The 15,249-nt window shown below is 43.3% G+C and overlaps 1 protein-coding gene across 1 annotated transcript in view, besides 1 other annotated feature; it reads left to right on the plus strand.

Moving 5' to 3' along the window:
* WDR37 (WD repeat domain 37) overlaps positions 1–15,249 on the plus strand; it is a 75,988-nt gene that overhangs the window by 18,739 nt on the left and 42,000 nt on the right. The window contains exons 3-7 of the mRNA NM_014023.4: positions 2,784–2,880; positions 4,888–4,983; positions 5,289–5,353; positions 9,280–9,415; positions 11,163–11,234. Of these exons, the coding sequence (NP_054742.2) occupies positions 2,784–2,880; positions 4,888–4,983; positions 5,289–5,353; positions 9,280–9,415; positions 11,163–11,234 (466 nt within the window). The remainder of the gene's footprint in view (positions 1–2,783; positions 2,881–4,887; positions 4,984–5,288; positions 5,354–9,279; positions 9,416–11,162; positions 11,235–15,249) is intronic.
* Positions 9,462–9,961: an enhancer, noted in NCBI's record as "H3K4me1 hESC enhancer chr10:1130525-1131024 (GRCh37/hg19 assembly coordinates)". NCBI's record gives its function as "activates a minimal SCP1, AML or CMV promoter by ChIP-STARR-seq in primed H9 embryonic stem cells {active_cell/tissue: H9 hESC(primed)}" and the evidence as "EXISTENCE:reporter gene assay evidence [ECO:0000049][PMID:30033119]".

Genomic DNA, 15,249 nt, shown 5'->3' on the forward strand with positions numbered 1-15,249 from the left:
AAAAGGTTGAAAGTCATTTTGTAAGCGCGCTCTTCCTGGGCTCAAGTTGCCCTCTAGTGGGACAAGTCCTCATTTCTCTGTGCATTTAGTTTCTTGATTATAAAGTGAGGTTAATGCTGACTTCTCAGCTTTCTTTTCCATAGCAATTCCTTTTTTTTTTTTTTTTTTAAATTTATACTTTAAGTTCTGGGGTACATGTGCACAACGAGCAGGTTTGTTACGTAGGTATACATGTGCCAAGGTGGTTTGCTGCACCCATCAACCTGTCACCTACATAAGGCATTTCTCCTAATGCTATCCTTCCCCCAGCCCCCCAACGCCCCGACAGGCCCCGGTGTGTGATATTCCCCTCCCTGTGTCCATGTGTTAGCAACTACTTTTATATTAATATGCACTTAATATTCAAGTATATATGACATGATGTAATTAGTTGCTGAACAATAAGAGCCTTAAAACATGATGGGTATAGATGAGTAGGAACTGATTCTGTAGGAGGAGATTGGCCTTGTGTAGGAGTCAGAAGGGCTTTTGGGGAGGGATGCTTGTGGGGAGGGATGTTCACAGAGTGGGAATGGGGCGTGCAGAGGCCACAGGGCAGGGAAAATACTAATAGTGATTCTCAGTTCAGCACAAGCTTATGTTTCATAGTTATTGGAACTTCTTTTTTTTTTTTTTTGAGACGGAGTCTCGCTCCGTTGTCCAGGCTAGAGTGCGGTACTGATCTTGGCTCACTGCAACCTCTACCTCCTGGGTTCTAGCGATTCTCATGCCTCAGCCTCCCAAATAGCTGGGATTACAGGTGCCTGCCACCACTCCTGGTTAATTTTTGTATTTTTAGTAGAGACGAAGTTTAACCATGTTGGCCAGGCTGGTCTCGAACTCCTGACTTCAGGTGATCTGCCCACCTTGGCCTCCCAAAGTGCTGGGATTACAGGCGTGAGCCACTGTGCCTGGCTGGGATGTCCTTTTTGATGGCCTAGTTTTAATTTTTATAGTTACATTTTCCTTTCTTTTTTTTTCCGTGTTCTTCATTGGTTTTAGAAGGATGTTTAGAGGCTATAGTACCAATTCAGTAGATTCAGTATTTAAAGTAGTATATATATGTGGGTGTGCGTGTGTGTGTGTGGTTTGTAAAATTTTTGTGAGAAATCTGTGATAACTGTAAAACTCACATTGCTAAAATGCTGTCATTTTTCCCTAAAATTTCTGTCTTTTAAGTTGATCTCAGAAGGATTTAATAAATATAGTGCATCTTTTTAAAAAGTTTACAACTCGGCCACGCGCGGTGGCTCATGCCTGTAATCCTAGAGCTTTGGGAGACCGAGGTGGGCAGATCATGAGGTCAGGAGATTGAGATCATCCTGGCTAACACTGTGAAACCATGTCTTAACTGAAAATACAAAAAATTAGCTGAGTGTGGTGGTGGGCACCTGTAGTCCCAGCTACTCAGGAGGCTGAGGCAGGAGAATGGCACGAACCTGGGAGGCGGAGCTTGCAGTGAGCCAAGATCGCGCCACTGCACTCCAGCCTGGGTGACAGAGCGAGACTCCATCTCAAAAAAAAAAAAAAAAGTTTACGACTCATCAGAATAAAAAAGTTTATGCTATATGTAAATTTGAAAAGTCCCATTAAGTATCAGCCAGGCACAGTGGCTCACGCCTGTAATTCCAGCACTTTGGGAGGCTGAGGCGGGCGGATCATGAGGTCAGGAGATTGACACCATCCTGGCCAGCATGTGTGGTGGCGCACGCCTATAGTCCCAGCTACTGGGGAGGCTGTGGCAGGAGAATTGCTTGAACCTGGGAGGCGGAGCTTGCAGTGAGCCGAGACCACACCATTGCACTCCAGCCTGGGTGACAGAGCGAGACTCTGTCTCGAAAAAAAAAAAAAAAAGGTAAGTATTGAAACACTATTTTAGAAATATTTGATGGGGATTTTTTTGAAAATTACTCTGGGTGTTGGGAGTAGGGGACACATACCAAATAGTGCATAGGCCATGCCCTCAGGGAGGTTGGAGTGGCACATGGCTGTATCTAGCAGGCTCCTGTTGACTGGTGGGTCCAAGCAGTGAGTGCCTGTGATATGTTTGGTGCTCAGGACCTGCTTACTTGCTGGACCACACTTGACAATGTAGCTCCTTCCCTTCGCCTTCCCAGGGGTGCGGGAAACACACAGGCATGAAGAGCGTGGCCTGGGCAGGAAATAAAAAGTTAATGTTTTCACTCAATTAATAGACATTTGGCTCTTTTTTGTGAAATTTTTCTTTTTTTCCTCTTCACAACACTCTTTTAGGTGTTATGTCGAGTGATGGGAGAGTGACTGTGCTTTTGCTTAAAGTGCAGTGGGTGTGGCGGGAACTCTGCAAAGGTGCCTCTTCCATGAGGGTCTAGCAGATTAAAATACTTGTAGGATAGCGTATGATGGCACTCAGAGGCTGTTTATAATAGTTCATTTATGGGAGCTGCCGCCTTTCTCTCCAAATTTGGAAGTTTTAAAATAAGGTAGGCTTATGTCCTCTCTTGTAAAGGGAAAAATTGTGTTATTTTGAAGGAGTGTTTATTTTCAAATCCCATATCATACTAGGTAGCCATTTATACAATTTGATTTATAGTCTCCTTGGCAGAAATTTGGAACTTTAAACTCTTTAAGCATTTTATATATAAAAATATGTAATAATACAAAATAAGAGTTTACAATAAAAGATAATTCACTTTGGAAAAAGCATATTTGTACTTAGAGTTTTTCATTCATTCATTCATTTTAAACAAAGTCTTCTTCTGCAGGATTCTAAACTGCCTTCCTCGGTTCGCAGTACACTTCTGGAACTGTTTGGTCAAATAGAAAGAGAATTTGAAAACCTTTATATCGAAAACTTAGAATGTGAGTATCTCCTATTTTAATATACTTTTATAGCTTTACCTATCCATAGTCAAATTTATGAATAGACATTCATCACTATATTAGTTTTCTGTTCTGCTGTAGCAAACTTAAACTTATTTTAGTGGCTTAAACTAACACAGATTTGTCATCTTGCAGTTCTGTGGGTCTGGTATAATTCCCACGAGGACTCCGTCTCAAAAGTAAATAAATAAAAATAAAAAATAAAAAATACATGGATCTTATCATTTTCCCTACACCAAGTACACCATAAATTGAGAAAACATTGATTTACTTTTTTATTAATATACCATCATTTGAAAATTGATGCATATACTATATCTGACTTATTAAAGACAAATCAAAACAATTTTGAATTAGCTTGGCTTTAATTTATCTTTTTTTTATTTTGGAAGTAATGGCCATATGTGCTTAAAAATTTATCAGACAGTATAAAAAGAAATCTACCATTACCCCTCAAGCCCATCGCACTCTTCAAAGGAAGACATTTTCTGCATGTTTTTGCTTTTGGTTCTTTTGGTGGTTAGTCCTGTGAATGTAAGTAATCATCTTCTGGTTTTAGATCTATCCGCTTTAGTGTTAATGCTTCACAGTGAAATAAACAGGTCCTTTGCGCTGCTCTATTACTTTCCAGTTTTTCTCCTTCAGGGTTTGTGTTTGTAAAATTTATATATATAAAGACAGGGTCTCACTGTGTTGCCCAGGCTGGTCTCAAACCCCTGGGCTTAAGTGGTCTTCCCACCTTGGCCTCCCAAAGTGCTGGGATTATAGGTGTGAGCCACCACACCCAAACTATAAAATTTGTACTAGACAAATGTAACTACAATCAAGTCTTTCATGCTTTATCTACAGGTTGATTCCAAAGGTTGAATACTAACAAAGAGCATTTCCATTGTTAAGCTGTTTTTCACTCTGTAACTAAGTGGTGTGGTTGGATGAATAATGAAGAGAATATAATCCTCTGTCATTTAAACTTTGCTTTTGGAAATTTTAATGTTAATACTGGATTCTCCTTTTTAAAGAGTCCACCTTTACAATTCATAGAGGGAAAAATCATTTCAACTTTTTTGTTTTTTTTTTTGAGACAAAATCTTGCTCTGTCACCTAGGCTGGAGTGCAGTGGCGTGATCTGGGCTCACTGCAACCTCCGCCTCCCAAGTTCAAGCGATTCTCATGCCTCAGCCTCCCAAGTAGCTGGGATCACAGGCACCCACCACCATGCCTGGCTAATTTTTGTATTTTTAGTAGAGAAGGGGTTTTGCCATGTTGGCCAGGCTGGTCTTGAACCCCTGGCCTCAAGTGATCTGCCTGCCTCGGCCTCCAAAATTGTTGGGATTACAGGCATGAGATACTGTGCCCAGCCCAGAATAATGTTTTTAATCGTGCAGAATCAATCACTATGGAAACTATGTTGAAATGCGGGTGCTGTCTTTGAGACCCTGATAGCAGTGTCTTCCACAGTGTAGCAAGTGTGTGAGCTTTTACTTTTGGAATGGTATCTCTAATGGTTTCTTTCTTTCTTTTTTTTTTTGAGATGGAGTGTCACTCTGTTGTCCAGGCTGGAGTGCTGTGGCGTGATCTCGGCTCACTGCAATCTCTGCCTCCCGGGTTCAAGCAATTCTCCTGCCTCAGCCTCCTGAGTAGCTGGGATTACAGGCATGCACCACCACGCCCGGCTATTTTTTGTATTTTCAGTAGAGACACCCTGTTGGTCAGGCTGGTCTCAAACTCCTGACCTCGTGATCCACCTGCCTTGGCCTCCCAAAGTGCTGGGATTACAGACGTGAGCCACCTCACCCAGCCTCGAATGGTTTCTTTAGTTTTTTGAGAACTCTATGAATTGTGATCTTGCTTATTAGAATATTATTCATGTCTTTGTTTATATAACACTAATATATAGCATTTTTTCTGTGTGCGAGTTTTGGAAGTGGTGAGTACACTTAAACATAAAAACATACTTTAGATTTTTGAAAACTTTTTTCTTCCCAGTACGTAGAGAAATCGACACTCTTAATGAACGTTTAGCTGCTGAAGGACAAGCGATTGATGGAGCAGAGCTGAGTAAGGGCCAACTCAAAACAAAAGGTAAGGTGAATCCCATGAAAGTCTTGTCCTGCAGATTATACATGCAGGAAATTTGGAATTTAGTGAAGGATGCTGGCTGGTTTGCGTTTTGCTGTCAGCAGACCTCGAACTATCTAATTCAGGTGTGGGTCTAGGAGAATAAGGAGCTCGGTTCTTGTTCCTGTTCTGCCATGGCTCTGTGTCACTAGGGTCAAACGAGCCTTTCTGGGCCCCCTTTCTTCCTGTGCAAGACACAAGACCCATTTGTGAGGCTATAGGTCTTTGATTGTGTGATTGTGTTTGATTGTCACTCTCTGTCCCTGCAGCCAGTCACAGCACCAGCCAGCTCTCCCAGAAACTGAAGACCACTTACAAGGCTTCCACCAGCAAGGTATGCAGGCCACTGGCTCTTGAGCCATCATGTGGTGGTTAAGGTGTGCAGATGTGTACTTTAAGTTGTTTATTTTCCAATTAGAAAGGCATAGCAGAAAAAGATAAATGGTTTTAAGGGAAATTTAGTTTTTTAAAGGAATGTCCTGGCTGGGCATGGTGGCTCATGCTTGTAATCCCAGCACTTTGGGAGGCTGAGGTGGATGGATCACTTGAGGTCAGGAGTTTGAGACCAGCTTGGACAACATGGTGAAACCCTGTCTCTACTAAAAATACAAAAATTAGCTGGGTGTGGTGGCGGGTGCCTGTAATCCCAGCTACTTGAGAGGCTGAGGCATGAGAATTGCTTAAGCCTGGGAGGTGGAGGTTGCAGTGAGCCGAGCTTACACCACCGCACTCTAGCCTGGGCAACAGAGCGAGATTCCGACTCCAAAAAAAAAAAAAAGAATGTCACTATGCAGGCATTTACATAGTAGCTTACCCTAGTACCTACAGGGATTAATATATGATGTATTAGTAAATATATTGTCTTTAGAGGGAATATATAATTTCTCTTGTTAATTGGCTTAATATAAAGGGTCTGAATTTGGAGGAAGCTAATAAATAGGTACAAATTAGTGAAAATTATGTTCTGAGCTAAAGTTACATTTTAGTTCATTATGTTCTTTTCCTCAGTTTCCTAAGTGTGATCAGGAAGTGAAGGTCTGTCTCTAAGGCAAATAGGGATGTTCATGGTTTTTGTATTTTCTTAAAGTATCTCGTGCTGACCTTCTTAAAGTGGAAAGGGTTTAATTGTTTGGGAATTCATTTGTCTGTGATGGATTACTATCAAGTGATATTTTGAGGTAATTTTGTATGCATCTGTACTTTGGCATATTTCAAGGATACAAAGATAAATTGAAATTTTCAGTGATCTTGCTATGATGGTGTAAGTAGTTCTTGTTAGCTTTTTATTTTTCCAATTTGTTTCCTTGAGTTTAAAGTTAATTTAGCATGACATCTATAGTAAGATTAACTGCAATTAATAGAGCAAATTTAGTCCTTCTGCCGTTTGTCCTCACTTGATAGTCTTTGGTAATTCTTTGTTATTCAAAAGAAAATCTGAAATTGTTGGTATTTTCTACTGTACTTTCCTTCGATAACATCTAGAATGTAAGTTGCTAATTTATTTGATTTTTTTTTTGGCCATGTAATGTCTAGCTTATACTTACAAGTTTTGAACTTTTTAATAAATTAACTTGAAGCTTTTTCTTCATAATGAAGTGTGAAATTATGTTCTTCCTCATTTAATTTCTTTTTACATTATCTTGGATTATGTTGTTTTTTCTGGTGTGTACAGTTGTATATATACAATGTATGGTCTTGGAATTCCAAAACTTTCTCATTATTACTGAAGTAGAGGAAGAAATGATTATATAAAGTTGTCCTTTACCATGAGCAGTAAAAAATAAGATTTGGACAAGGGTAAGGATATGTATAGTAATGCTTTGCTTTAAAAAATGTATTAGAGATATTTAAAGCCCAGTCATTTTAGGTACTAGAAATTCATCTGAATTTATAAGAAGCATATTACTAATGATCTTTATAGCCTTTGCACACTGCCCATACCCATTGTAAAAAATAACTATGAAAATATAAGACATCTGAAGATTGAAGAAATAATTTGGTAACAGAATATATTCTGATTCGTACTACAGTGTGGATTCTTGGTGCCAAAGCTAAGCATGAATGCAACAAGAGAAAGGCTACAGTCTAGCTTTATTACTTTCCCTCCTTCTGACCCAGAGCCACGAAAAGCAAGTAACGTGCCTGGTGGGATAGCGGGAACACAAAAGTGTGTTACGTGAACGCAGAAGAGGTTTTTCCCCTTCCTGGGTGGCTAATGAGATTTCTGATGCCTACGGGGGAGGGAAGTGAGGAAGTCTAACCTGCAGCCCTCTTTAAAGAAACTTATAAAAATCAGAAAGGGCTTTTTCCACAAAGAAAGACACTTATCTTCTCAAAAATATTTGCAAACATTTTCACAACCGTGCTTTAGATTGCGCCGCAGTTCAAACGATCTGGGATGATGGGCGTGAGCGTCAGTTTGCGGCTTTGTTCTGCTGCTTTTCTGTTATGAACGTTCCCTCTAGGTAATTCAGTCTGTTTTGTTGGGCCTCTTGGTAATGACGACTAAGTCAGCTTTTCTAAGGAAAAAGAGTTAAGGTAATAGATGGTCAAAGTGCAGTGGGCATTTTGGAAGCAACACATGAGAAAATATTTGAAAACGGCACATGATCCCCTGCACAGCTCCAGCAGCACAGCTCCAGCAGCACAGCTCCAGCAGCAGTGCAGTCAGAGCCTCTGGGAAGGAGCCACTCTGTTCTTACCCTGCGAATGGAGCAGGTGAAGAATGTAACTCTAGTAGTTTGTTTCTTATAATACTGTTATTAATGTTAGAAGTGGTGAGAGATTTGGAAAATGAAATTTACGACAATACTGTTACTTATGTTAGAAATGGTGAGAGGCCTGGAAAATGAAATTTACTACAATACGGTTATTAATGTTAGAAATGGTGAGAGACTTGGAAAGTGAAATTTACCACCGCTTATTATGGTGGGAGGTTGTGTGTGTCCTTTAATTTCACTCCCTCCTAAAATGTTACAATGTTATTTAACATCTGAATGACACTTTCTGTAAGCAAAAGCATCTCCCATGTTGTGGAGGCATAATTTTCCTGGATTGAATAGGATATTAGTGTTCAGAAAGAAAAGAGGATAATGATGGGTTTGAGGTTGAACAAGTGCTTTTGCAATTCCTCTGACCAGTTGCAGTGGAAGTTCTTCCTGTTACTGGTGAAAATGTTGGCCTCTTCCTCAGCCTTTTATATCACTGTATCCGAGGAGAATAACTCGAGGGTGCGGACCCAAATCCATGTGACAGTGGGTTGTGCTTTATGGTCTTAGGAAGAATGAATTTAGATGTGTTTTTCAGGGCTATGCCAAATCAGTGTTTGAAACAAGTTGTGTAATGCCACTGATTTTAGTTCTTCACTTAGTTTTTTTGTTTTATTCTGAAAAGTCTACATTATTCTGATTTACTTAACAGCTGGACAGCTGTTTTCTTACCAAAGAAAAATTTAAAAAGCAAACTCTGCAGAAATCGTTGTGTTGAATTAGTTTCTTCCTCACTCACTTCATATTTTTCCTGACAAGAGGGCATGAGAACTGTCTGCTGTGTGTGTCGTCATTCGAGACGATGCCTTTCTGTGGTCCGTGATGTGTTCGCGTTGTCTCCTGCTGGGCTGAGCATGTCCAAAAGGCCAGGGGCCTACGGCCGCGCTGCCCTGCATCCTCATAGCTGGTGCCTGTTCTGAGCGAGCGCCAAGTCTCGGGCAAACCGGCACACCTATTAGTGTCGTCTTTTGATTCCTCCCCACCACAGGCTTTTTTTACACTTGATGATACGTGGTTGGTGTAAATTCTCAAAAACAGCAAAATGTGAACATGTACAGCGATCAGTGTCATTAGCTAAAGTTAAGGGTTTGGGATGTCCTTCCTGACTTTTTTGTATCTGAGTGGCTAGCTAACGATTTGTTTAAGAATTTGGAAATTTTGTCTCATGGTTTGGGTTTGGGGGAGAGGACCTGAAACACCTAAATCCACCCTTCTGCAGTGAGACCTTCCATGCCTGGCTGTCAGACTGAGGTGGGGGAGCCTGCACAGGTCGCCGCGAGAGCTGCACGCATTCTCTGTGATATGAGCTGAACCCGCCACCCTTTCCACGCAGGGCGTTTCAGCTCACACTTGCGCTGTGTTCCTTGATGCTTTAACTGTCCTAGTCAGTGATTTGTGCATTTTCCAAGACGTCTTTTTCGTTTTCTCTTTCTTGACTTAGAAAAATTTACTTCAGTAAATTGTTTCACAAGACTCCCCATCTTGGTTTCAGATTGTCTCCAGCTTTAAGACCACGACATCGAGAGCTGCCTGCCAGCTCGTGAAGGAGTACATCGGCCACCGGGACGGCATCTGGGATGTCAGCGTGGCCAAGACACAGCCAGTGGTGCTCGGGACTGCATCAGCCGGTGAGTCGCACACGGACCTGGCCAGCCTGCGGAAGCATGGCTGTGCTTAATCCCTGAGTGATGGACATTCACTTTTCTGTGGCAGAGGAACCCTAGATGCAAAAGCGTCATGGAGGAGTCAGTGGAACCCCCCACACATTAACCCTTGGTGATGCTTAGTGTTGTGGCCTGAAGTCCTGCATTCCGTGGTCTTGTGGGAGGGTGTGCAGCTGCACCTTGCATTTTGTGGTCCCGTGGGTGGGTGTCCAGCTGCATCCTGCATTCCATGCTCCCATGAATAGATGTGCATCTGCACCCTGTCTTTTCCAGGTCCCCGTGGGTAGGGCGTTGCAACTCACAGTGAACCAAGTATCTGAGGAAAGAAATACTTGTTTGGAATGGATTTAACTTAAATGTGTTGAGGAATCAGTATTCCAATTATTTGTTTTCTTTTTCTTATTTGAGACGGAGTCTCGCTCTGTTGCCCAGGCTGGAGTGCAGTGGCGCAATCTCGGCTCACTGCAACCTCTGCCACCTCCTGCGTTCAAGCGATTCTCCTGCCTCAGCCTTCCCAGTAGCTGGGACTACAGGCGCCCGCCACCACGCCTGGCTAATTTTTTTTTTTTTTTGTATTTTTAGTAGAGGCGGGGTTTCACCGTTTAGCTAGGATGGTCTTGATCTCCTGACCTTGTGATCTGCCTGCCTTGGGCTCCCAAAGTGTTGGGATTACAGGCGTGAGCCATCGTGCCTGGCCCTCTTTTTCTTATCCACAGCCAAGTGTGTTTCTGATTTGTGGATGTATTTGACTTTTTTCCCACAAGTGGAGTGCAGTTGAGGGACAGTAGTTTGGTACTCACTGAAAGTGAACACTACCTGGGCACGTAGCCAGCAGTGGAGGCTGATGGCCTCCCCCAGCAGATGTTTGCCCACAGAATCACAGGGGCAGAGTGTGGAAAGTGACCCTTTGTTTTCTCTAAAAAAAGATATTTTATGAAAGCTATCTAAGGTGGCATAATACCCCTTGAGATAAAAATTGCTCAAATTACAAATGATGCTCATTGAAAATGCCGTCCCAGCTTGTGAGACGTTAATCACTCACTGGACTCTGCTTTTTAGAGGCAGAAGTGAATGTGATAAACCATTTGAATAGCGAAGAAAGTTCTTGCTTCTCCTTTGAAACTGTTTTCATGGATGAGCGCCTTGGATTGCTTTGGAAATCATAGTTTTAAAAAAAGAATAAAAAGGTCCTTTCTGATATTTCCGAAATTTCATTTGGCTAATTGGTGCTTATTTCTCAGATTTTCCCATTAAATCTACTTAAAAAAATAATGGCTATAAGAGAAAGACCCAAAGATCCAAAGACATGCTTATCTCAACAGTTGTAACTGGATTTGGATGCTGTTTGAATTTGAACTCTGGGAGATGTTCTGGAACATTTTAATACTTTAATAAAATAATGAAACTGTGATGGGAACGACCTCTGTCTGTCATTTTCCAGCATGATGCAGCCAGCCTGATAGTAAAGTAGGAAATCGAGTCTCTGGTTGTCCGTTAGCTGACTTCATGGCCTCAGACAGGTCACAGCTTCTCCCATTTGGGAAATGTTTTCTTTGATCAATTGAAGCATACAGAGTAATAGAATCAAAGGTGGAAGAGATATCAGTGGTCGTGTAATTTCCCATTTTTAGAGTATTTGTCTTATTCTTTCATTTGAAAAACTATAAACTGATGATAGCTAAGTTCCGACTTCTTCATTTCCATCTTGCAGATCACACGGCTTTGCTGTGGAGCATAGAGACAGGGAAGTGCCTAGTCAAGTACGCAGGCCACGTGGGCTCAGGTAAGCACTGCCTAAGGAGTGCCGTAGCCAGAGGCCGTTGCCTTCTCCAGTGTGTTTTTAAAATCGTGCATGATAAAGCCAGCTGCTACTGTGTAGGAAGCCTTACTGTTTCGGTTGTCAGGGGACAGTGTGGTCTGTTCAGAGACTGGGATAACTCTGTCTTGAGCTTGTATGGGCTCAATAACAGGGAAAAGCTTAACTCCCTAAACAATGTACATATCATGTTAGTCTGCATTTTATTTAATATTGTATATAACCCATATGTAGGAAATTTTGTAACTGAAATGTGTGCGTTATTTTTCACAAAATACATATCTGTTTTAGAGGTTTACTTTTGATGTAGTGATAACTTGGATGTATTCAATAAAGGATACTCCATGAATGTGCTTGCGTGCCCGTAGTTAATGCTGTCCACGGAGTGAATGCTGTCCACGTAGTTAACGCTGTCCATGTAGTTAGTTAACGCTGTTCACGTAGCTCTTTTCTGCCTTTTCACTTAGAGCTGTGTGTGTACCAGTTTCCTGACCAGACTTTGTTTCTGTTTCCTCTCGCACGTGCTGTGTGGTTCCTTCCCCCGCAGTGCCCTCTTCACTTGCTCACTCGCCCTCCCTCACACCTCCACGCTGCCAGGCTGAGAGGTGGCATCGCCTGTGTGCACAGAGGGACAGGTGTGGGTGGGGCCCGTGGCTCTGAGCGCCTGTCTGCCCGTCCACAGGGCCCTGATGAGCTGTGGAGCCTTCCCCTCCCCTTTCCCAGGACCTCCTCTCCTTTGGCCATTCCTGCTGTCACAGTGTCTTCTCTTTCTTGCCCTGGACATTTCCCCTTAGTGTGTAGACAGGCTGGCGCCTTTCCCGTGTTAGACCCCCTCCTCCGTGCTGCCTTCTTACCTGTCTTCCTCCCCTGGCATCCCACAGACTGGCTGGGGTGCCACAGTGTCACCTGCAGTTTTCTAGCAGTGCCTGGCGTGTGTGTGATTGGTGCTCAAATGTAGAGCAAAACGCTGTTACAGGAACGAGTGCTGTATTCTGTTTCCTCCTTCAAATTTCCTCTTCAGAAACGTTAAAAAAATTAAATATATGTGCATAGGTTAAAAACTTAAGACTTGAAAATCGAAATGACTCCTTGATCCCTGGGCTACAGAATGGATGTTGTGTTAGTAGGCATGAAATCAGCATTCATCTTGTACATCTCCATCAGAGCTCTTAGGTGAGCAGGTGCGTTGTCAATGAGCCAGTTGTATTATGATAGGTGTAGGTCTTAATGGTAGGCTTAAAATACTCAGTCAACAATGCTGTCATCAGATGTACTGTCATCCATGCTTTGTTGTTCCATTTATGGAGGACAGGTAGAGGAGATGTAGCGTAATTCTTAAGGGCCCTGGGATTTTTGAAATGGCAAGTGAGCATTGACTTCAGCTGAAAGTCACCAGCCGCATTCGCCCCTAACAAGAGTCAGCCTGTCCCTTGAAGTTTCGAAGGCATGGATGTCTCCTTTCTAGCTAGGAAAGTACTAGACAGCATATTCTTCCAATATAAGGCTGTTTGTTTGCATTCAAAACCTGTTGTTTAGAGTAACCATCTTCACCAATGAGCTCAGCTGGATCTTCTGGAGAACTTGCTGCAGCTTCTCCATCAGCACTTGCTGTTTCACCTTGTACTTTTATGTTGTGGAGACGGTGTCTTAAACCTCATAAACAACTCTCTGCCAGCTTCCAGCTTTTCTTCCGCAGCTCCCTCACCTCTCACAGCCCTCAGGGAATTGAGAGTCAGGGCCCTGCTCTGAATTAGGCTGCAGCTAAAGGGAATGTTGTGGCTGGTTTAATCAGTCCCCACCACTCAAACTTCCTGTGTATCGGCGTTCTTGTCATTTGTGTGTTCACTGGAATAGTGCTCTTACTTTCCTTCGAGAACTTTTCCTTTGCATTCAGAAGTTGGCTGTTTGGTGCAAGATGCCCAGCTTTCAGCCTGTCTCAGCTTTTGACTTGCCTTCCTCACTAAGCTTAATCATTTCTAGCTTTTGATTTAAAGGGAGCAATGTGCAACTCTTCCTTGCATTGGAATACTTAGAGGCCATTGTAGGGTTATGAATTGGCCTAATTTTAGTATTGTTTTGTCTCGGAGTAGAGAGGCCTGAGCAGAGGGAGAGATGAGAGAAAGGCTGGTTGGTGGAGCAGTCATAACTCCCACAACATTTATTGAGTAAGTTTGTGGTCTTATGTGGGTGTGGTTTGTGCCTCTCCCCAAAATGACAATGGTAGCATCAGAGATCACAGGTCACTATTAACAGACATAATAATAATGCAAAAATCCAAGGTCAAGGTGCTGGCAAAAAGAAATTAAAAAAAAAAAAAGAAAAAGTTTGAAATATTGCAAGAATTACCAGCGTGTGTCACAGAGACGTGAAGTGAACACATGCTGTTGGGAAAATCGTGGCAATTAGGTGTTCAACGCAGGGTTGCCACAAACCCTCAATTTGTAAAAAATCCAGTACCTACAAAGCACAGTAAAGTGAAGGGTAATAAAACGGGGTATGCCTGCATCCACACATAGACGTGTACATACACGCATAGTCATTTCTGTTCTCTAGAGGGGATTTAATTTTCCCTTGGCCAGCAGATAGAGTGGACGGCAAGCCTTGATTGACTTAAGGGTTGGTGGCCGGTGGGTTTCAGGCTTTAGGGGTTCTGCTGTTCCTCTCGCTTTCCCTTGTTCTAAGGGAGTTGTCCTTCAAGGGTGTGTCTTCACAGGCCCTGAGCTTTAGTTTCATCTGCCAGTCCTCTCCGTGTTAGCTCTTAGAGGCTGCTTTCTGCTTGGTGTCCGCCCTCATGCCCAGTTTAGGTGCTGTCAGTGCCTGGGGGAGGCGAGCAGCTGGCCCGCTCCTTCCTGGCTGCCTCTTCTGAGGGATCCAGCCTCAGTTCCTGTCACGGCCGCTCACGTCTGGACTGCACCCTCGCTCCGGCTGGTCTCTGTGCCTTGAGGGAGTGCGTCAGCTAGTGGGGCTTCCAGTGCTTCCCTCTGGGGCCTCTGGGCCTGGGGGCCTCAGGGCTTCCATGATGACTTCAAGCCTTGTGTTTATTTTTTGCTGTTTATCTGCAGCTTTTATAATTAATTCCACTAGGGGGTCTGAGTGGATCCACAGAGGCTGCCTTGTCCCAGCAGGAAGAAGTCTCTTCCTGTTCTTGTGCCTGGCTTGTGTTTTTTATTGGCTTTCCGTTCTTCACGCAGGTTAATTCAGCCTTCCCGTGCTCACCCACAATTCAACCTTCCCATGCTCACCCACAATTCAGCCTTCCCGTGCTCACCCGCAGTTCGGCCTTCCCGTGCTCACCCGCAGTTCGGCCTTCCCGTGCTCACCCGCAATTCAACCTTCCTGTGTTCACTCACTCACCGTCACCATCTGCTCTTCTGGCCTCCAGTATTCGGTGTCGTCTCTTCGCTCATCGTCTCTTTAGTTCTTTCTTTGTGGGTCTGTTCCTGTTTCTTCCAGGATGCCTTCTGCATTTAGAGAGGTGTCAGAGAGGGGAGAAGACGCCTGTGTTTCTGGCACGTTGTCGTGTTGCGTGTGTCTCTCCTCTTCCTCCTGGGGACTTGTGTTTGTGTTTTTCCACTAGGGGATTTTTCTTTTTTTGAGACGGAGTCTCACTATGTCACCCAGGCTGAAGTGCAGTGGTGCAATCTTCATTTGCTGCAACCTCCGCCTCCCACGTTGAAACGATTCTCCTGCTTCAGCCTCCCGAGTAGCTGGGATTATAGGTGCCCGCCACCACGCCTGGCTAAATTTTGTATTTTTTTAAAATTTATTTTTAATTAATTTATTTTTTGAGATGGAGTTTTGCTGTGTCACCAGGCTGGAGTGCAGTGGTAGGATCTCGGCTCACTGCAACTTCCGCATCCCTGGTTCAAAGGATTCTCCTGCTTCGGCCTCCCGAGTAGCTGGGAGTACAGGCACATGCCACCACGCCCAGCTAAGTTTTGTATTTTTAGTAGACGTGGGGTTTCACCATGTTGGTCAAGCT

This window comes from Homo sapiens, chromosome 10 (genome assembly GCF_000001405.40).
Source record: "Homo sapiens chromosome 10, GRCh38.p14 Primary Assembly".
Classification (NCBI taxonomy): Eukaryota; Metazoa; Chordata; class Mammalia; order Primates; family Hominidae; genus Homo; species Homo sapiens.